The sequence below is a fragment of the Homo sapiens genome, chromosome 16 (assembly GCF_000001405.40).
Source record: "Homo sapiens chromosome 16, GRCh38.p14 Primary Assembly".
Lineage (NCBI taxonomy): Eukaryota > Metazoa > Chordata > Mammalia > Primates > Hominidae > Homo > Homo sapiens.
Window position 1 is genome coordinate 88,325,150 of NC_000016.10, and position 22,464 is coordinate 88,347,613.

Here is a 22,464-nt window from a genome sequence, read left to right on the forward strand (position 1 = left end):
GCAGCTGCGACATACACAGGGCCTCAAGTCCTCACCTGCACACTCCAGGTGGTCGCGACAGCAGCTGTGACATACACAGGGCCTCAAGTCCTCACCGGCACACTCCAGGTGGTCCCTACAGGCTCCGTAAGCTGCCCGAGGTGCACCCCGGGGGGCCGCAGGGGCTCAGACCCAGGACACCCACCAGACTGCACAATTGGTGGCCAGCTTCTGGGGCAACCATCAGGGTCACAGTGGGAGAGGCACAATTTCCACCCAGAGCATCACTCTTCCCAATTCATGCCTGAAGGCGGGGCAGCCGCTGAGTACCCTGCCCAGGGGACCCGGAGGACACAGGTCAGTGATAGGCGTGGCCCCACCACTGCAGCCAGGGGCACTATGTGTGGTGGCGCCAAGCCCAGCATGGCCAGAAATGACACTGATACCCACACCAGGACACAGTGTCCCAGGGTGGTAGAGCTGGAAGGGCCTCTGCCACTTAGGGCTCCTGGTCCCATCCCTCATGCAATTTGTGGCCTGTGAGACCCCCTAAGGGAAAGTGACTTGTTCAATGTCACCCCAAAAGTCTGCAGTGGGGCCAGGACAGACAGGGCCTTGCCACTCAAATGCTCCGTGTGACGGCTACCCTGGTCCTTCCTTCCCCTCTTTCTCCTTCCTTCCTCCCTTTCCTCCTTCCTTTCTTCCACGCATCCCAGATGGGGCTGCAGGGCAGAAGGATCGGTGCTCTGCCCCCTTAGACCTGAAGGACGCCACTTCCTCTCTAGCCTCAGCTTCCTCAGCTGTACACTGTGAGCAATAGAGCTAACAACACCTGTCAGTCAGTCCAGGGGTGGCCACTGTGCCTGTGATTGCGCCCCCTCCCCACTCCCAGCCAGTGTGATCCTGTAGGCAGAGAGGAGGGGCTGCCAACCCAGAGGCCCCAGCAATGGGCCACAGACATGTCCTGGTCTCAGAGCCTTTGTGATATGGTTTGGCTGTGTCCCCACCCAAATCTCATCTTGAATTCCCACATGTTGTGGGAGGGGACCCAGTGGGAGGTAATTGAATTACGGGGGTGGCTCTTTCCATGCTGTTCTCGTGATAGTGAATAAGCCTCATGAGATCTGATGGTTTTAAAAATGAGAGTTTCTCTGCACAAACTCATTCTTTTTGCCTGCTGCCATCCATTTAAGAAGTGACCTGCTCCTCCTTACCTTCTGCCATGATTGTGAGGTCTCCCCAGCCACGTGGAACTGTAAGTCCATTAAACCTCTTTCTTTTGTAAGTTGCCCAATCTCAGGTATGTCTTTATCAGCAGCATGAAAATGGTCTAATACACTTCGAGACACTCTCCAGGGACTGCAGCTTCTGCTGCTCCTGGGCCTCGGGGACATCCAGAACCACTTTATTAAAGCACCCAAGGCCCAGGGCAGTGACACTGCTGGGCAGGACACCGCATGTTTCCCAGGGACCACCCTCCAGCCACCTCACATGGAGGTCAGGACCAGAGTGCCTGACGCAGGCACTCACATGGAGGCCTCGGGTTTGGGGTGTTTGCTTTAACGTCACTGACTCATGGGACCCCCGCTGTGAAAGCACCTTAGAGACCTTCCAGAACAATCCCAGATCAGAGGGTGACACCCAGGCCTTCCCTGGCCAGGGCAGCACTCGGGCCGGTCCTGACCCCCCCGCTCTTTCCTGACTCAGCCATGGCTGCCTTGTCTGCACTTCATTTTCTTGAAAACTGGGCAGAGTACCCAATGCCCACCTGGCAGCGGGGCCCAGGAGCAGCACCCCCACCTCTCTCGGCCTGTGTCCCTGTCTCCCTCCCCGTCGCTCTCCCTCCTGTCTGTCTGTCTTTGGTTTGAGCTGTCTCCTGGGTCAGGGCGGCCCCGCCTCTCTGATGGGCGGAGGGTCCTGATGTCCTTGGTCTGTCCTCAGCATCTGCTGTGGGACCTCAGGAGAAGCGCCACTCTGGACCCCAGGAGTGGGGCCATCCCCCATCCCAAATAGTGTCCCTCGTACTGGCACAAGGTCCAGGCCCCGGGTGGCCGCCTCTCCAGAGCCTGTGGGACCCTGTGGCCTGCACCACTGGGGCTTCTCACACCAGCCCCTGCCTCCCCGGCACTGGTTCTCTGGGTCTGCCTCTCCATCCACTCAGCCTCACGCCAGCCCCCGCCTCGCCACGCTGGTCCTCCCGGCCTCGCCTCTCCTTTGTGCAGCACCCCTGCCACCTGGCTTTGGTAGATGCACCTTCACCTGCTTCCCTGGACGAGGTGGGCTGCAGGCCACATCCTGTGAAGCGGGTAGGCAGCCCCATCCCAGGGCGTAAGCATGGTGTGGGTGCTGAAATGTTCTCATCTGCGGTTCCCAGGGCCAGCTAGGGGCCAGGCCTGTGCCATCCTCAACATATCACGTTGGGGTTGGGGGGGGGTCTGTGCTCACGGTGGGCTGCGTCACCGGCAGCAGGACAGGGCACGTGCTCCGTACCTCAGGGCTGAGTGCTTCCAGGGCCACCTCCTTGTTCCTCCCTCCTCTCCGCTCCTCCACCGCCCTCTCCCCTCCCACCTTCCGTGCACACTCACTGAGCACTGACAGGGCAGCCTGGGCTCCATGCTTAGACCCCGCACCACAGGTGTCATCCGGAAGGAGCTGGAGAGGCCGCAGTGTGGTCGGAGCTGACTAGGCCCGGCTGCTTGAGAAAACCGGCCGGATCCCGAGTTCAGCTGGGGCCCACACACCCACCGGAAACACACCCAGCAGAGCAGAAACCAGAAACGTGAGATTGTCTACCAGAAACACTTTCACGGCCGGGCTCCATCACGGCTGCACACCCACCTGCTGTCCCAGCCAATGGGGAATGCACGACCCATGCTGCTGCCCAGGCAGGAGAGCAGCAGCTCCCGGCACACACGGCGACTCCCACAGACACAGAAGGGCACACGCCATGGGAGCCACGGTCCTAAAGCTGGGATGAGGTCGAGGAATCCGCAGGTCCCAGGGAAGGAGGAGCTGCCGAGTCTGTGCTTCTCGCCCGGGGCTGCTGTGCAGGCAGACGCACGCTATGTCATGGGCCAGGCCGGACACTTCAGTCTTGGTGCTTTCTGCACGTGTACTGTATTCTGCCTTAAAGGTGTATTTAAAATGCCTGTAGAGGAACAAAATTCTCACTCTGCTGCTGACTGTGTGACCTTGGCTGAACCATATGACGGCTCCCAGCCTGCACTTCCTTACCTGTGTGATGGGAATGATAGCAGTGCCTTCTTCACAACCTCCAGGGAGGTTCCCCAGGAAAACGCCATGGCAGTTCTCAGCCGGGGCCTGGCCGCATGGCTACCGTCGAAGCTCTGCTGCTGGACCTGAAACGCCACGGCCCCAGTGCAAGACACCATCAGTGTGTGCTCTGTGGGGAAGCTGATCCGATGCACCTGGCCTGACATGGATCTTTGTGGGGTCCAGGGCCCGGGTTCTTCTCCAACGCACTGATCTCCTCCATCCCTGGCTCCCAAAATGCACCAGACAAGGAAAACCAGAAGAAATCAGATACAACCCTCAAGCGTTCCAGCCGGGGGGCTGGGATGTGCACACACAGCTGAGTGCAATGGGAGAGGGTGCGGTGTGAGCAACAGAGGCGCCCAGTCTAGGGAGGGCTGCTTCCCACACAGTGAGCACCACACAGGAACCAGAGAGGATTCCAGGTGTCCAGAGAAAACAGCTGGGGCAGGCGGGTGGGGGAGACGCAGTTTGGCCACAGCAGAGGAGGCCGAGGAGGAAGCGGAGGAGGCCGAGGAGGGAGCAGAGTCAAACCGAATCAGCAAGAAGGGTCAGGGCCCTAAATGTTCTCCACGGGGTCCCGACGTTCACCCGCAGCCGGAGTCCTTCAAAGAAAACCCAGAGACCACCTGCCTCCATATTTCCTGCAGTTTTTATAAAAGTGCAAGTTCCTGTATCCGACCCATGATGTGCTGACCGGGAGCTCTGGCAGTGGTATCCGGGGTCTGTGTGTCGACCCTCACTGTCAACAACAGGGAGCCACAGAAGGTTCATGAGCTGGGGAGTAACACGGCCGCTGCTGTCCGTGACTGGGCAGGTGGTGAAGGGGCTCCAGGGAGGGAGCCCAGCCAGTGTGTTTGCTGCTTCTTCATCTTCTGAGAACACGGAGAAGCCCCGTTGGAAGGAAAGGCCTGGGTTAGTATTGATCCAGATGTGGACACAGCTAGCCGATAAGGGAGGGTGTGTGAGACGTGATTTAATTCCTCCCACCAACCGCACATCGCTGCCTAGCGGAAGCCCCCTCCAGGGGTCTCACCTCATACCACAGCCAAGCAGGGGCTGGGGGCTGCCTCCCGCTGGCCCTCTGAGGGCCTGAGTCAGAAGGGTGAGGATGAAACACAGGTGGGAGCTCCCCAGATTCCCCAGAGGGGCTCCCTTCTCAGAGGCGAGGGCTAGCACCTCTGCCAGCCACTTCTGCCCCTGAAGGCCCCAAATCCTGGGAGCGCTTCGGTCCCCAAGAGACTGGGAAGTTGGTCACACTGACAGGGAATTGGTCCTCATTGAAAACATTAGTCTTTCAGCTGTTCCAGGGGAAAGGGGACGGGGGTCAAGGGAAAAGTTCTTAACAACATTTGTGCTGAAAACATGGGGTTGGGGGCAGCAACCCCAAGGTGAGAACAAGCTGAAACCTTTCCTGGGATGCAGACGCCTTCACAAGGCCTCACCCACCAGAGCAGAGATGGCCTCAGCCCTCAGGCCATCCGGTGAGGGACGGACAAGCACCACGGGCGCCCACAGGCGTGGCATCATCCAGGCACCCAAAGGAACGTAGTCTGATGCACTCTGGGCACAGGGTGCCTGGGTACAGGCAGAGTGGAAGCAGCCAGTCACAAAAGGCCACATCCAGCCTGATGCCATCCACATGAAATGCCAGGCATAGGCAAAGCCTCAGAGGCAGAGGGAGGTCAGCGTTGGACTTGGCCTTCTGACTTTCGGTTAGAGCGTTTCTCATTTAGGGACATGCAATGATGCTGTCATCACCCCTAGGCAATGGGCACTTATGCTGTGGCTGTTTCCTGTGAATGCACTTGCACACGGGACCTGTGGCATCCTGTGGGCGTCCTGTGAGTGTTGTGTGGGTGTCCTGCATGTGTGTGCACATGCGAAGGCCCTTCCTAGCATTTCTGCTGTGTGTACTGTCGGATACGGTCCTGGAAGTGGACTCCACGTTGCCGTGATGATGTGTGGGGCATTGGTGCCATAGCCACGCCTTCTGAAAAGTCATGCCCATTCAGGCTCCTACCCTGAGAGCGGAGTGGGTTTGCTTCTCCACACCGTCCTTAGCACGCATATTCCCAGTGGTTCTCATGCGTGAGCAACAGTCACAAAACAATGACGTGTTGTGGTTTTCCTGGCATGTCTTTGGTTCTCACTGGCCCAGACTGTGGCCTCCGCTTCATGGACAGAGGGACTAAGAAAGAAGCTTGTGTCTGGCTTGCCACGTGTAGAGGCAGAGGCATGGCCCACACCCCTGCCTCAGTCAGCACAGGAGGTGAGAGACTTCTGCCCCCAGGGAAAGGAGAAGTTTTCTCTCCTGGCCCTCCCATGATCTCTCCTGCTGAGGCTGCACACTGAGTGACAGGCCAGCCACTGCCGCATGCTACCTGTTTGCCACTCTGTGACCTTGGGCTTGCCCCTTCAGTCCTATGAGCCTCATCCACAAAAATGGAGACACATTCCCTGTGCAGCAAATGGTTTGTGCAGACTGAGAACATGTCTGCAAAAGCACCTGGCATGCAGCAAGTGCTCACTAAACACTGAGCAGCTGCATCATCATTGTCATAGTCATCACCATCGCCACCACCATCACCATCACCACCATCGTCACCATCACCATCGCCATCACTATTACCACCATCATCACCATCATCACCATCACAACCATCACGACCACCACCACCATCACCACTATCACCATTGTCACCATCGCCACCACCATCACCATCGTCACCATCACCATCACCATCACTATTACCATCATCACCATCATTACCATCACCACCGTCGTCACCATCACCACCACCATCACAACCGTCACCACCACCACCATCACCACCATCACCATCGTCACCATCACCATCACCTTCATAGTCATCATCATCACCATCACCACCATCACCATCATTATCATCATTGTTACCATGACCATCACCACCATCATCCTCCTCACCACCATCATCACCATCATCATCATCATATCACCATCACCATCACTACCATCGTCATCACCATCACCACCACCAACACCACCATCATAACCATCATAATCACCACCATCATCACTACCACCATCATCACCATCATCATCACTATTGTTATCACCACCACCATCATCCTCATCACTACCATCACTATCATCACCATCACCACCATCGTCATCACCATCACCACCACCACCACCACCACCATCACCACTATCATCACCACCATCATCATCATCACTATTGTTACCACCGCCATCATCATCACCACCATCATCATCTTCATCACCACCATCACTATTATCACCATCATCACCACCATCATCATCACCATCGTCACCATCACCATCACCACTATCATCACCACCATCATCATCATCACTATTGTTACCACCGCCATCATCATCACCACCATCATCATTCTCATCACCACCATCACTATCATCACCATCATCACCACCATCACCATTGTTGTCATCATTATTCATTTTTCCTTTTCTGGAGACACCCATGAGTCCTGGAAGCTCAGGATGCAGGCTTTAGGAGTAGCCCCCTCCTCATTCACAGGAATATGAAGGCCTGGCATGGCAGTGACTTGCCCAAGGCCACTGTGCCAAGAGCAGAGCTGGGTTTGACCCTCTGTCTCCGCATGGCCCTTGGCAGCCCCCGAGTCCCCTTTGGCAGATAGCTTTCCTCACAGCCCTGAGGACAGGCATGATGGGACAGGGAGTCTCTCTCCACCCCCTCCTTGGTGTTTAGTTGACATCAGTAAAGCCACCGAAGGAATCTTTCAGAAATAAACAAAGTTGCATTTTTTGACAGAGGATGGAAAATGACTCATAGGAAATCAGCATTCCAAGTGCACTACCCCATTAGGTATTAAGCGGGTCGGGTTTCGGCACAGCGTCCAAGAATGCTGTGGCTTATTGCAGGAGGATGACACCGTCTGTGTGGGGAGCTGGCGCGGGTGCCTGAGGCCTGGAAGCACCCGTGGGAACCCATGATGTGCCGTCACCGCGTGCCCTGCCCCCTCTGTGCCGGCTCTCCTGGCAGTGCTGAGCACCGCCACGCTTGGGCACAGCCTTGCCGCTGGCCCTGGCCTTGAGCAAGGTCCTTGCAGCATCACTGGATGCTGGGTTCTAATTTGGCTCTGAATCTGACTTGCAGGTTTGGGCCATTCCAGAAGAATAAACCTTTCTGTGTGCACCTCTGGCAGGCAGCCACCTGGCATAGGCCATGTGAGGCAGGGAGAGGGAAGGCACCATGAAAATCAACAAAGCAAGTCCTCCCCTAAGGGACTCCAGAACCCGTGGGTTGAGATGGGCAGGATGGGGGAGGGGGGGCTGCTGGGAACAGGGTGAGGGCCCCCAGCACCACTGCTCAGGCCGGCTCTCACAGCCTGCAAACCCTTCCCACAAGACTCCACACAAGCAGCCTCTGCAGCCAGCCTCCTCACCGTTTCACAGACGAGAAGACCAAGGCCCCGGGTTGCCCCTTGAGTCTGGGCACTGGAGACCCAGTCATGCTGCTTTCCAGCCCATGACCTTCCCACCCCCCTGTCAGAGCCACCGAGCTGTGTCCCCAGGAGCCACGTCCCTGCCCAGCCTCTGTGGCACCCAGAGGTGCACTCTGGCACCAGGACACACCCCGTGGGTCCTTGTGCTGCTGCTCATTGGTGATTTGGCGGTAAACCTTAGAGGGAGGAGGCCTGCTGGGATCATGTGCCCACTGCCCATGCTGTGGCCTCTGTGGGCAAAGCGAGTGTCCCCACATCCACCGTCCATCCGTGAGTCCCCTGCTTGATGCTTCCTGAGAGCCTCCACCCACCCAGAGGGAAACCAGGTGTGGTCTCCAAGCCGGTGGGTACGGCCAGGGGAGAGAAGGCTCCGGACTTGCTGAGTCACGGAAGAGGGGCCCATGGGTGGAGAAGGCTCGGACTTGCTGAGTCACGGAAGAGGGGCCCATGGGTGGAGAAGGCTCGGACTTGCTGAGTCACGGAAGAGGGGCCCATGGGTGGAGAAGGCTCGGACTTGCTGAGTCACGGAAGAGGGGCCCATGGGTGGAGAAGGCTCGGACTTGCTGAGTCACGGAAGAGGGGCCCATGGGTGGAGAAGGCTCGGACTTGCTGAGTCACGGAAGAGGGGCCCATGGGTGGAGAAGGCTCGGACTTGCTGAGTCATGGAAGAGGGGCCCACGGGTGACTGAGCGACAGTTACAACTTGGAGACATTTCCTTCCAGCAAAGATGCAAAGGTGGGGCATGAAGGCAGGAGCACGGAAGTCTTTGCATGTGTGGCCGGGGCTGCCTGCCCAGGGAAGGCATTTTCATTCTTCCCACGGATGCGGGCCCGCGAGGTGGGGCTGGTAGTAAAGATCCCGAGGAGAATAAAAACACACCAAGAACCGGAGCACTTCACACACTTGAGCAAGGGAGAGTGACGGCTGCGTGGCAGGGGGTGGGGGGGACGTGGGGGCAGTTGCAGTGTGTGTGTGTGTGTTTGTGTGTCTGTGTGTGTGTTTTTGTGCATCTGTGTGTGTCTGTGTGTGTCTACATGTGTATGTGTTTGTGTGTCTGCATGTGTGTCTGTGTGCATCTGTGTGTATCTGTGTGTGTCTGTGTCTATGTGTTTGTGTGTGTGTGTCTGTGTGTGCATGTGTGTCTCTGTGTGTCTGTGTCTGTGTGTGTCTGTGTGTGTGTGTCTATGTGCATGTGTATGTCTGTGTCTGTGTGTCTGTGTCTGTGTGTGTGCCCAAGGGAGGCAGGCGTGAAGCTAAGGAAGTCTTGCTCTGTGTTACAAATGTCACTCCCTTTCCTAAGAGACCAAAGAGTTAAGAAATTTTTCAGGTTTGTTGAGATGCTGGACTAAGCTGGACTAAGCCTCCTGTGAATGCCCCCTTTGAAAAAAATTCTGGGGATGGATGGTAAAAAACAACAACAACAATCTTACCTGAAACGCTCGGGACCAGAAGTGTTTTGGTTTTGATTTTTGTCACATTTGGGAATGTTTGCCTTACGCTGACCAGTTGAGCATCCCTGACCCAGCATCTGAAATCAGACATGCTCCAGGGAGCATTTCCCAAGAGCATCATGTCAGAGCTCAAACAATTTTGGGTTCTGGGGCATTTTGGGTTAGGGATACTCAACCTGTATGACCCAGGGTGTGCACACATCACAGAGCCGGGAGTGATTCATCTGTCCCAGAAGGTTCAAAAGGTCAAACTGTGACCAATTCATGTCCACCTGGAGCCGATGACTGTGGCCTTATTTCATATAAGGGTGTCGGCAGATATGATTGCACTAAAGATCTCAAGATGAGGTTGTCCTGGACCAGGGTGGGGCCTAAATCCTATGAAAGCGTCATAAGGAAAAGGGAGCCTGAGATGGGAAGATGCCGACGGGAGGACACACATGTGATGGATACAGATGAGGGAGCCGTGTGGGAAGATGCCGACGGGAGGACACATGTGACAGAGACGGACGTGGGAGCCGTGAAGGAAGATGCCGACGGAACGACACATGTGTGACAGAGATGGATGTGGGAGCCGTGAAGGAAGATGCCAACGGAAGGACACATGTGTGATGGAGATGGAGGGGGAGCCGTGTGGGAAGATGCCAACGGGAGGACACATGTGTGATGGAGACGGACAGGGGAGCCATGCAGCCACTGGGCACAGGAAGAGGCAGGGAGGACCCACCAGAGCCTTTGGAGGGAGCACAGCCCTGCGCATGCCTTGATCTGGGACTCGCAGTCTCCGGGGCTGTGAGAGGATGAACGTCTGTTGCCCTAAGCTGCTAGGTTTGCCAGGAAACCAGGCCAGGCTCTCCACCACCCCAAAACTCAGAGCTTAACTGTAGGGTCAGATGCAGGCCAGGCTCTCCACCACCCCAAAACTCAGAGCTTAACTCCCTGGTTAGTACATATCTGGATGCACGTCAGGAATGCAGGCAGGGCTGGATGCACTTCCGCTCCACATGGTGTGGATGAGGGCCACTCCGGGGTGCTCTGTGGGCAGCTGGGCTGGTCAAAAACTTCCAGGGCGGCCTTACTTCTGCAGCTGGTGCCATGGCGAGACAGCTGGAACGTCCCCACAGGGCCACTCTGGCACGGGGTCTCAGGGTGGCCAGGCCCCCTCCTCGGCCCCTCAGGGCTCCCAAAGTGAGTGTCTGGAGGGGCCTCTGATGACCCAGCCACAGGGCCTCACTTTGGCCACACTCCACTGTTCAGGCATTGCCAAGTCCAGGCAGATGCCTGGGAGGGGAATTAGCTCTGCCTCCTGATGGGAGGAGAAATGAGAGCCTCGATAAGCATCGAATCAATGAAAGAAAGAAACTCACATGGAGGCATTGACGCAGCAACACCATGCATGTTCATCCTTCACGTGAGACACTAACATGCCAATACCACGCACATTCGTCCTTCACGTGAGACACTGATGCGCCAATACCACACATGTTCATCCTTCATGTGAGACACTGATGTGCCAATACCACACACATTCATCCTTCACGTGAGGCACTAACATGCCAATACCATGCACGTTCATCCTTCTCGTGAGACACTAACATGCCAATGCCACGCATGTTCATCCTTCATGTGAGACACTGATGCACCAATACCACACATGTTCATCCTTCATGTGAGACAGTGATGCGCCAATACCACACACGTTCATCCTTCACATGAGACACTAACATGCCAACACCACACATGTTCATCCTTCACGTGAGACACTAACATGCCAACACCACGCATGTTCATCCTTCACGTGAGACACTAACATGCCAACACCACACACATTCATCCTTCACTTGAGACACTAACACGCCAATACCACGCACGTTCATCCTTCACGTGAGACACTGATGCGCCAATACCACACATGTTCATCCTTCATGTGAGACAGTGATGCGCCAATACCACACACATTCATCCTTCACGTGAGACACTAACATGCCAACACCACACATGTTCATCCTTCACGTGAGACACTAACATGCCAACATCACACATGTTCATCCTTCACGTGAGACACTAACATGCCAACATCACACACGTTCATCCTTCACGTGAGACACTAACATGCCAATACCACGCACGTTCATCCTTCACATGAGACACATGCCAATACCGCGCATGTTCATCCTTCACGTGAGACACTGATGTGCCAATACCACACATGTTCATCCTTCATGTGAGACACTGACATGCCAACACCACACATGTTCATCCTTCACGTGAGACACTAACGTGCCAACAGCACATATGTCCATCCTTCACGTGAGACACCGACATGCCAATACCACACACATGCATCCTTCACATGAGACACTGACACGCCAATACCACGCAGACTCATCCTTCACATGTGCGATTCGGTGGCTTTTCATGCATTCACAAAGTTATGCGACCATCACCACTATCTCATTCCAGAACAGGTCATCATCCCCAAAACAAACCCCATACCCATGGAAGTTCACCACCTGCCGTTCCCCCAGCCCCTGGCCACCCCGAGTCTACCATCTCTGCTCTTCTGGGCATTTCCTGTGAGCAGAATCATGCTGTGTTTGCCCCTTTGTGTCTGGCTTCTTCCACTCGGCCCCGTGTTTTCAAGGTTCCTCCACGTTGCTTCATGTGCTAGTGTTTCACTCCTCTTCGTGGCTGAAAAGTATATTCTGTCATGGTTTAACCGTTCACCAAATGATCAGCATCTGGGCCATTTCCACGCTGGGGCTATGGTGAGTAGTGCCGCTATGAACGTTCACACCTGGTATGGTTTGGCTGTGTCCCCAACCAAATCTCATCTTAAATGGTGGCTCCCACCATTCCCGCATGTGGCAGGAAGGACCCAGCAGGAGGTAACTGAATCATGGGGGCGGGCCTTTCCCATGCTGTTCTCATGACAGTGAATAAGTCTCATGAGATCTGATGGTTTTATAGGGGAGCTCCCCTGCACAAGCTCTCTCTTGCCTCCTGCCATGTAAGATGTCCCTTGCTCTTCCGCCATGATAGTGAGGCCTCCTCAGCCCTGTGGAACTGAATGCATTAAACCTCTTTCCTTTATAAATTACCCAGTCTCGGGTATGTCTTTATCAGCAGTGTGAGAACGGACTAATACAACACCCAAGTGTTTGCACGGACGTGTTTTCAATTCTGCTGAGTTTATACCTAGTGGTACAGGGTCCCAGCGTCACTCTCTGATTGTCTTTTTGAGGAAGTGCCAGGCTGCTCCTCATTTTGCATCCCCATTTGCAAGGCACGAGGACTCTGGTCCTCTGCATCCTCAGCAGCAAGCATCACTGCACATCTTTAGTTCTGGCCACCCCACGGGCGTCAGGGGCAGCTCGCCGCAGCTGTGACGCACGTTTCCCTGGTGGCTGATGGTGTCAGGCATCTCTCCATGTGCGTTGGAGAAGCCCACTCAGATACACGGCCTCTGCTTTAATGGGGTTGTCTGGCTTTTTGTTGTTGAGTTGTGCGTGCTCTGTGTATATGCTGGACGCTAAACCCTTCTCAGATGGACGGTTTGCCAAAATTTTCTCCTGCTTTGTGACCTGCCTTTCACTTTCTCAATGGTGTCCTTTGAAACACAAATGTTTTTAGCTTATGAGGATCCACTTTCTCTATTTTTCCTCTGGTTGCTGTGCTTTCGGTGACACATCTACGAAAAGTGCTGTCACTTGGCCAGCGGTTCCTAACTTTGCTTTCTCACAGTGCCCCAAGACATCCCATGGCCCATGGGCAAACTTCCTCTTAATGCGCAATGCAACCCTCCAGCGCTGCCAATCGCCTGGGGAGAGACCCTCCGGCGCCTCCAATCGCCTGGGGAGAGACCCTCTGGCTCCCGGAAGGCAGGGGTCCCATGGGTGGGGAGCTGCTGACTGTAGTGCAGTACCCAGCGGTGGTCCTGAGCTGGGTCCAGGCTGCGGGATAGTGCTCTGTGGTTGATTAGCAATGTCTGCCCCGGCAAGAGAGGAGTCTGCACCCTGCAGGCCACCCCCGGCTCCTGACTCTCCAGGCTGATCATCACTGTGCCCTGGTCGACTTGATGAGGAGAGGTGGCCTCGGGTGATGCACTGAGGCTCCACGCCCCCAGGGTGTGTTTGCCCCGCACAAGTATTGGGCCGTCTGTAGAGACTGTCTCCTGAGAACCACAGAGCCCCCAAGCCATCTTGTGCTGTCACCAAGGAAGAAACACGGAGGCCAGAGGCCTCTGCTGGGTGAACATTGCCCCCAAACCCATGTCCACCCACAACCTGTGAACATGGCCTGCTTTACAGACAGGGCCTTTGCAGGTGCAATTAGTTAAGATGAGATCAGGCTGGTGTCCTTATCAGAAGGGGGGATATGGGCAGACACACAGAGGAAGGGCAGGGCCACAGCAGAGATGGAGGCTGTGGCGATACAGGCACAGGCCACAGGCCAAGAGCGTCACAGAAGCCAGCATCCCCCAGAAGCAGGGAGGGGCAGCAGGGACCCTCCTGGAGCCTCAGGAGGAGCGTGGCCCTGCAACGCCTTGGTTTCAGGCTTCTGTATGGAGAGAACATTTGTCTCTTTTTGAAGTTCCCCAGTTTATGGCACTTTGTTCTGGAAGCCCCAGAGAACCCACATCACACTTGATAGTGTGCGTTCACTGCACAGCAGGGCTGCCTGAGCTGGACTCCCCAGGGCTGCTGCGTCCTGGAGGGGGCGTGCCTGCCTGAGCAGAGAAGTCACTCAGGTGCACTCCCAGAACTAGGAGGGCCACTGGAGCGAGAGTGGGAGCCAGGGAGGACAGGGTGGCGGGGGACATGGGGACAGGGTGGCAGGGGGATGTGGGGACAGGATGGCAGGGTGATCGGGGATAGGATAGCAGGGGATAGGATAGCAGGTGGCAGGGGGACAGACTGGCAGGGGAATGGGGGACAGGATGGCGGGGGATGGGGGACATGGTAGCAGAGGGATGGGGGACATGGTGGCAGGGGGATGGGGAACATGGTGGCAGGGGGATGGGGACATGGTGGCAGGGGGATGGGGGACAGGATGGCAGGGGGACGGGGGACATGGTGGCAGGGGAAGGGGGACATGGTGGCAGGGGGATGGGGACATGGTGGCAGGGGGATGGGGACATGGTGGCAGGGAGATGGGGGACATGGTGGCAGGGGGATGGCGACAGGATGGCAGGGGGATGGGGGACAGGATGGCAGGGGGATGGAGGACATAGTGGCAGGGGGATGGGGATGGTGGCAGGGGGATGGGGGACATGGTGGCAGGAGGATGGGGGACGTGGCAGGGGGATGGGGGACATGGCAGAGGGATGGGGAGACAGGATGGCAGAGGGAGGGGGGACATGGCAAGGGGATGAGGAGACAGGATGGCAGGGGGATGGGGGACAGACTGGCAGGGGGACGGGGGGACATGGTGGCAGGGGGATGGGGGGACATGGTGGCAGGGGGACGAGGGGGCAGGATGGCAGGGGGATGGGGAACATGGTGGCAGGAGGTCAGGGGACAGAGTGGCAGGGGGCCTGGCCATGGCAAAGCCCAGGTGCTTCACGGGGTGGCACAGTGTTGGGGACGGGCCACCCCTGCAGAGGGGAGCGAGTGGGCGGGCCTCTTTACTAAGATACAAACCTTGGTCATCTTCTGAGCATGCAGGGGACAGGTGCAATATTTTTAAGCAAGAGCAGTGCCAGGTCTGAGCCACGGACACCAGTCCTCTCTATAAAGTGAGTCAGCAAGCAAACAGCCCCCTCACCACCCCTTCTCCTCCTACCCCAGCCGACATGGCTGAGCCGGCACAGAGGTGCCTCCCCTGCACGGCAGTCCAGGCCGGCACGGCAGCTTAAGGAGTTCACCTGCAGAGCAGGGGGAGCCTGTTGTTCAGGCACAGAGCACCTCATAGGTGGGAGTGAGCCACGTGTACCAAACGAGGTGTTGTCATGGGCCAGGTGTCAAAGGCCAGGTGACATGAACAGGTATAATGGACCAGGTATCAAAGGCCAGTTATCATAAGCCAGATGTCATGCGTCAGGTGACATGAACAGGTGTCATGGGCCAGGCATCACAGGTCAGGCATCACAGACTAGGTATAAAGGGCCAGGTATAATGAACCAGGTGACATAGGCCAGACATCACGGGTCAGGTGTCATGGGTCAGGCCCACAAGAAGTTCTCGAAGCTTTGATAGGACTGGGGAGTGCTGGGCTTTGCAGCCAGAAAGTCTCCCAGGGAGGGTGCTGCCCAGCCCCACAGAGCTGAGGCCCAGAGGGAGGAAGGAACAACAGTGCAGGGCGGCGCAGCTTAACAGCCGGGAGCACAGAGGAGGCAGGTGCGTGGGGAGGAGTCCCGCTGGAACAGAATCCGCCTGCCTGGGCTGGGAATCAGCAGAGGGGAGGGTGGGTCAGAGGGGAGGGTGGGGCAGAGGAGAGGGAGAGGGTGATGCACAGGGAGGAGTTTACAGGCAGAGGTGTCAGGCAGAGCCACCCTGAGGGACCGTGAGAGGACTTGGGATGAGGACCTGCTAGGAGAGCCCGGGGGCCTAGCGTGGAGGAGGGCCTCGCAGAGAGCCCTGGGGGTTGGGGTAGCAAGGACCCTGCAGAGAGAGCCCGGGGCCCGGGCAAAGCGGTCCAGGCTGGCGTCTGGCTGGCAGCCCTCGCAGAGCTCCTGGCCCCCTCCTGAGCCACCTGAGCACCTCGTCTTCCCCCAGAGGTTCAGACCTCTCCTGTGAAGGTCCAGTAGCAAATCTCTCAGGCCTTGTGGGCCACACGTGGTCTCTGTCACACATCTCTACCTATTTTGTACAATCCTGTAAATGTGTAGAAGCCCTTCTTAGCTCACAGGCTGGACAACACCAGGTCTTGGGGTGTCCCTGTTCAATGCCCGCCTGGTGCACTGAATGCTGGGGGCCTGTACAGGGCCAGCCCCTCAGTCTATTCTCCAGGGCCCAGGAGGCGCATGGGCCAGGGCCTCCCACTGGGAACATGCGTTTGGAATCTTGCTCCTGGTGGCTGCTGGGACTCAGTTGCCCCTGCTGGGACGTGCTGGGCAGCGTGAGGCAGGGCCGGCCACTGTTGTGATCTCTCACCTGGGGGACTCATTCTGGGCCACCCTCCAGGTTTCCCAGGTCAAGCCGTCCTCCCCAGCTCTCTGACGTAATCCCAATTTCCTTTCGCATTGACTCTCAAGCCGTGCCCCAGAAAGCAGGCACCTGGGTTCCTAGCCATCCTAACTCCCGCACGGCTCACAGCTGGGACGGAGCCAGGGTGGCAGCAGGCAGGCCCTGCACACCTGCAGGTGGACTGGGTATCTCGGTTTTGCCATCTGCGGGGGCATGGATGCATGCTCCCTGAGGCAGGTGGTGCAGCGTCCACAGACTGGGGGTGGGGTTCAGATGAGCCAGGAAGGGTGTGCAGGGGAGGATGGCTGGGGGCTGCCATGCCCAGTGGGGGCTGGGCGGGTGACTGGATGAGCCTGAAGGACTTGGGGACCAAGGTCATGATGGGTCCAGGGCCAGGGCGAGAGCATCACCAAGGGCGCTGGCCATCTGGGAAGGCCGTGAGAAGGAGCTGTGCAGGTGTCGGGGCGGCCAGCATTGATGTGTGGACTTCGAGGTGCCCAGCTGGGGAAGCAGAATGGGGCTTTGGGCATCATAGCAGGTGGCAGCTCCAGCCAACAGGGTCCCAGGTGAGGCAAGCAGCAACATGTGCAGGGCGGGGCGGGGCTGGCTGGGGACGAAGAAGGCCGGTGGGAGAGGCCGGGCAGGGGCTGAGGAGGCGCTGCGACAGGGGTCTCCAGCCCTTCGCCCCCCAGCACCTCGCAGGTCTGGGCTCGGTCTCCACCTTGTCACTGCTGGGAAGGTGACTCGAGAGATTTACCCAAAGTGACCAGGGAGCTCAGTGTGGGGGTCCAGGCTGGGACTTGAGTCTCTGCCTCCCCTCCTGCCTGCATCTCTCATGTTCCTGGAGCTCCAGGAACCTCAGGAAGATCTCATGGGGGAGGCCAAATGTCCTCTCCCAGCAGCCCAGTTCCCTGTGCCCCGCTCATGGCCGAACCTGGATGGAGCCTCAGAATCCTCCTCAGCTCCCCACTCCAATGGCCACTGAGGGTCAGAGAGGATGATCGGGGAAAGCTGCTTCTGCTCTGATGCACGGTGGGGGCCCACTGCCCTGCACTCAGGTAGGACATCACTGCCCCACCTCCTGTGGTCCCGCAGCCCCTTCCTTTGCTCAGCCTCTCGGACCTCCTGCCAGGGCCCGTCATGCAGAGGCGGCTCTGAGCAGTGAGCCTTTTCCCTGTAACTTGGGGACAGACCATGGGGGGACTGAGGCTGTGCCAGCAGGCGGTGGGCCTGCTTCTTTTCAAGGTGGCATCTGTTCTGCGTTGGGCCAGGTGGGAGAACGTGCATAAGTGTAAGACTCTAGCAGCCGCCTGATGCCAGCGTAGGGCGATGCCTGTCAATGACGCCAGCATAGGGCGATACCCGTCAAGCCCTTGTCGGGACCCAGTTGCAGGACGTCATGTGTATTTGGGTGGTGGGTCCCTGTGGGAGGTAACCCTCCCTCACCTGGAGGGGCACAGGGGCAGCAAGGCTGGGCTCAAGTCCTTCATGGCCACTGGATGAGCTTTGTGGGCAACTGCTGAGCTCCACGTGGTCCACAGGCAAAGCAGCGGGCAGATAGCACACGGGGACTGAGAAGCATAGGCGTCCTGTCTCACACCCCTTGTGGTCCATAGGCAAAGCAGCGGGAACATAGCACATGGGGACTGAGAAGCACAGGCATCCTGTCTCACACCTCTCATGCTCCTGGGTCCGTGGTAGCCCACCCTGCACTTGCTCTCCTGGACCTCCGTCCAGAGCTCAGGGCCACGGCTGAGATGGCATCCGGTGACAAAGTAAACATGGTATGGGGTTGTATGGGGTTAAAATCCCAAGGATAGAATAAACATCCACGAGCCCACAGTAACATAAAGTATCGAATGGATGAAATAAATAAATGGGGAAGAAAAGACACATCCCTCCCAAACAATGTACATAGACGCTTGCCCAGGAAGTAGCACAGAGCCGCCCGCCCACATGCAGCCTGCCCATCGTGACTTCTTCCTAAGAGCAGAGTGTGTGTCTTAGTCCATTTCTGCTGCTGTAGCTGAATCCCTGAGCCTGGGTAGTTTATAAAGGAAAGAAGTTTATTTCCCAGGGTTCTGGAGACTGGGAAGTCCAAGGTCGAGCGGCTGCCTCTGCTAAGGGCCTTCTTGCTGGTGGGGACTCTGCAGCATCTGAGGCAGCACAGGGCATCCATGGCAAGGGGGCTGAGCCTGGTGGCTCAGGTCTCTCTTCTCCTTCTTATGAAGCCACTAGTCCCACTCCTGTAATAACCCATGAATCCATGAATGGATTAATCCATTCATGAGGGCAGAGCCCTCTAATCACCTCTTAAAGGCCCCACCTCTCAAGACTGCCACAATATGGATTGAATTTCAACATGAGTTTTGCAGGGGACAAATATTCAAACCATGGCAATATGGGGAGATGGAAAGAGAGGGACTGCACAGTGGAGATGCTGACAAACACGACCTCGGCCAGGAGGTCAAGGTCATCCTTGACCATCATGAGTCCTTTTGATGGTGTGGATCCTGGACGGGACATGATCAGATGGGCACTTCACCCCTGGGGTCTCTGTCCCAAAAACCCATAACCCTCGTCTAATCATGAGAAAAACAGCAGAGAGTCTCAACAGGGAGAGACTCTACAAAACACCTGAGCGGTCCTCACAACGGTCAAGGTCATCAAAAACAAGGAGGGTCTGAGAATTTGTCACGGCCCAGAGGAGCCGAAGGAGACACGAGGATCCTGGATGGGATCCTGGGGCAGAGAAAGGGCATGGGGGGAGAAGAGGCGATGGGGGGGCGGGTTCCGAACAAAGCGTGGACTTCAGTTCATACCAACGTGTCGATGCTGGTTCCTTAGTTCTTGCTGGTGTCCACAGTGATGTGAGATGTTAACGGCAGGGGACCCTAAGTGAGGGGTGGACACAAACTCTCCATGCTGTCTTTGCAACCTTCATGTACATCTTCAACTGTTCTGAAATTAAGAGTTTATTGAAGAGCCATTGGGCTGGGTTGCAGTGCTGGGCACAGGGCCTGAGGCAGGTGCTCTGCAGAGTGAAAGTCCCCATGGGCTTCTGGCAGGGATGGGGTCAGTGTGAAGAGGGGCACATTGCACTGGGGGCCGGGACAGCCAGCTGTGTTTTGGCCCTGCCTCTGCTGCTGTGCACCCTCAGGCGGTGCCCGGGCCCTCTCTGGGCCTGTGACCACAGCTGTGCAAAGAGCGTGGGAAGCAGCTCTGCATATGGCCATGGTGGACCCAGGATGCAGCCGGAAGGTCCCCCAAAGTGCCTGGGTTCCTGGGAGGGGCCGCTATGGGTGTGTGCCCCGTGTCCCAGAGGCGAGACCGGGTCGGAACCCGAGTCTCCTCCCCAAACCACCACATTGGCTCTGGGTCCCGCGTGTCGAACCCGTCAGGTCGCCCTGCCTCCATCACCCGGCCTCTGGGATTTCCTGCAACCTTCCAGGTGTCAAGCGTGTGGCCCCGACATCCCTGACAATGTTGTATATCCATCACAGAAGTCGCCCTGACTTGGGGTTTGGCTGGTCAGGCCCAGAGCCCTACAGCAGGTTCTAGAAGGGCCTGAGAAGACCAGTCACCTCCTCCTCACCCGTTGTAAAGGTGACGTGAGCCTGGGATGGGGGGAGTGGATCCCGAGGTCATAGGGCATGTTGCTGACAGAGCCTGAATTGTCCAGCCAGCCCCCTCCCGGGCACCCAGGCCAGATGCTCCATTTCCATCCTTGCTCTTGAGTCCAAAAGGAGACCCTGGCATGGCGCCATCCACGCACACCTCGTGTGACCGTGGGACAGCTCTGTGCCTGTGCTGGCAACAAGCTGCCACCACACACAGGGCTTCTGAGCACCTGAGGCCTGGGTAGTGGTATCAAAAAACCAGATTTTTAATTGTACCTAATTTCAATTAACTTAAATGTAAGCAGCTCCGTGTGGCCCAGGGCTTCCTTATGGGACGGCACAGCCATGATGGCTACACACGCAAACGTTGGGTAGGTGACACCAGGAGCATGGGATCTGCACCAGGGCCCCTCTGTGGTCACTCACCATGAGATGTGGGCACGTCACTGCCCTCTGTAAGACGAGAGGCCTCTGCAGGCTGGCATGGCAGAACCCACACCTGGGCAGCTGTCCCCTCTGCCCGTGGGGTCGCCACGGGGTCCATTTCACACAAGCCCAGAGGGAGCCTCTGGCTCACCATGCAGGGAAGGGCGCTTTCCAAAGCCTTGCCTGCTTCCACCAAAACACTGGCTCCAGCTCTCCTCACGTGGATGGAACTCCCCCGGACTGGAAGAAGGAGGGTTTTACGAGAGTCAGCTTTTCATAGGGGAGAATGCTTGCCAGCCCGCCCGCCAGGCCCCACCGAGGCTGCCAGAGGTGACCTTCAGGCTTCAGCAACTCTGCCCTTCATCCAGAAGGATCTAGACCTGCTCCCTCGTCGAATATCACTACAATGACCTGGCATCGCATCACCCTGGAAGGACCAGAGGAAAATGGCGCCATCTGTTCCCATTATTCTTGGCGGGGGCAGGAGCGTGAGAGGTGGGGCTCTGGACCGGGTCAGGCTGTGAGCACACCACTCAGATTTCTGGCTAAAGTGCTGAACTTCACAGCCGAGAGCATTACAAAAGAATTTTTATTCCTTTCCTACTCTTCCTCCGTGGGTGCCCGACAGATATCTCCAGGGATGGGAGTTCTCGGCTCCATCCCAGGCCCGATTCTCCAGTGGTTTCCAGGATGTGGGGACGGCCGGTGCAGGCTGCTGGGTGAGGGAGAAGCATGGTCTCTGGCCCGTTCATCTCGGGAGAACCTCTGCTGACCACGAGGCCCTGCGAGTGTGCTGGGGACCCAGCTACGCTTGTCCACTAATCACCAAAACAGACCCCGGCTCCTGGCAGAACTCGCTGGGAAACTCCAGGTCGGCTGCCCGGAGCCCCTCCCTCCCAGCCCTGGCCTGGACCTGCACATGCAGCTCCCATGCCACCTCAAAGCCACAGAGCAAACCCTACAGCAGGACCGTTGCTCCTACTCTTATTTACTTTTATTTTTTTTATTTTTTAGAGACAGGGTCTCGCGCTGTTGCCCAGGCTGGAGTGCAGTGGCACGATGTTGGCTCACCGCGGCCTGAACCTCCAGGCTCAAGCAATCCTCCTGCCTCTGCCTCCCGAGTAGCTGGGACTACAGGTGCGCACCACCACACCTGGCTAATTTTTTAATTTTTGTAGTGATGGAGTCTCGCTATGTTGCCCAGGCTGGACCTGTTCCTTCCTTTAAGAGGAAGTGGGGAGATGGGCGGCCCTGTGTGTGCGTCCCAAGCTGCTCAGGCAGCGAGCTGGCCCTGGACCTGCCCACTGCTGGACTTTCAGGTTCCCATTGTGTCCACGCTGCCACATCCTCCCTCAGACTTTCTTCAGAACCACAGAATGAAAATCGGCAGCCGGGAAGAACCAGCTGGCCTGGCCACCCTCGGGAGAAGGCCCTCGTTCCCAGGAGAGGCACACTGAGGTATTTAGCAAGAAATGTCATTCCTGCTGGTTCTGGGGGGAAGTAAGATAAATTCACAGGGAAAGAGCAGAAATGTGGTAATGTGTGAACAGGCCGTACGGCTGAGCTTGGGCGGTCTCAGCATGGTGTCACCTGTGTTGGTTTTGCTTCCCTGGGAGCAGGATGCCGGCCCTACCTCCTTCCCACCAAGCTGGGGACCCACACCTATGAGGCAATGCAGGAGGCCCCTGAACCTTTGGACGAGTGAGATCCCATGTTTTGGCTACATTCGATCCCCCAAAAGACGTCAGGGCCCCACCCCCACACCCGTGCACGGGCCCTTCTTTGGAAATAGGGGCTTTGCAGATGCTCAAGTGAAGACATGGTCATTAGGCCGGGTCCTAATTCACTAGCACTGTTATTCAAAGGTGAGATTTCCACTGAGCCGCGGGCACACCCAGAGAGACGGTCACACGTAGACACCCGGAGGAGACAGTGTCGCCAAGCCCAGGAGAGAGGCCCGGAGCAGACCCTCCCTCCTGACATCCGCAGGAACCAGCCCCACCATCTTCACTTTGGACTTCCAGCCTCCAGAACTGTGACGATAAACTCCCGTTTTAACCACACCATCTGTGATACTTGGTTATCATGGC

The 22,464-nt window shown here is 57.1% G+C and overlaps 1 protein-coding gene across 1 annotated transcript in view, besides 2 other annotated features; it reads left to right on the forward strand.

Moving 5' to 3' along the window:
* ZNF469 (zinc finger protein 469) overlaps positions 1–22,464 on the forward strand; it is a 339,823-nt gene that overhangs the window by 224,219 nt on the left and 93,140 nt on the right. The window lies entirely within an intron of this gene.
* Positions 7,470–8,669: an enhancer, noted in NCBI's record as "P300/CBP strongly-dependent group 1 enhancer chr16:88366225-88367424 (GRCh37/hg19 assembly coordinates)". NCBI's record gives its function as "activates an origin of replication core promoter dependent on BRD2, BRD4, P300/CBP, MED14 and CDK7 cofactors, with strong dependence on P300/CBP, by STARR-seq in HCT116 cells {active_cell/tissue: HCT116}" and the evidence as "EXISTENCE:reporter gene assay evidence [ECO:0000049][PMID:35650434]".
* Positions 7,914–8,208: an enhancer, noted in NCBI's record as "tiled region #4027; HepG2 Activating DNase unmatched - State 10:DNaseD, and K562 Activating DNase matched - State 1:Tss". NCBI's record gives its function as "activates a minimal TATA promoter and a strong SV40 promoter by Sharpr-MPRA in HepG2 and K562 cells {active_cell/tissue: HepG2 | K562}" and the evidence as "EXISTENCE:reporter gene assay evidence [ECO:0000049][PMID:27701403]".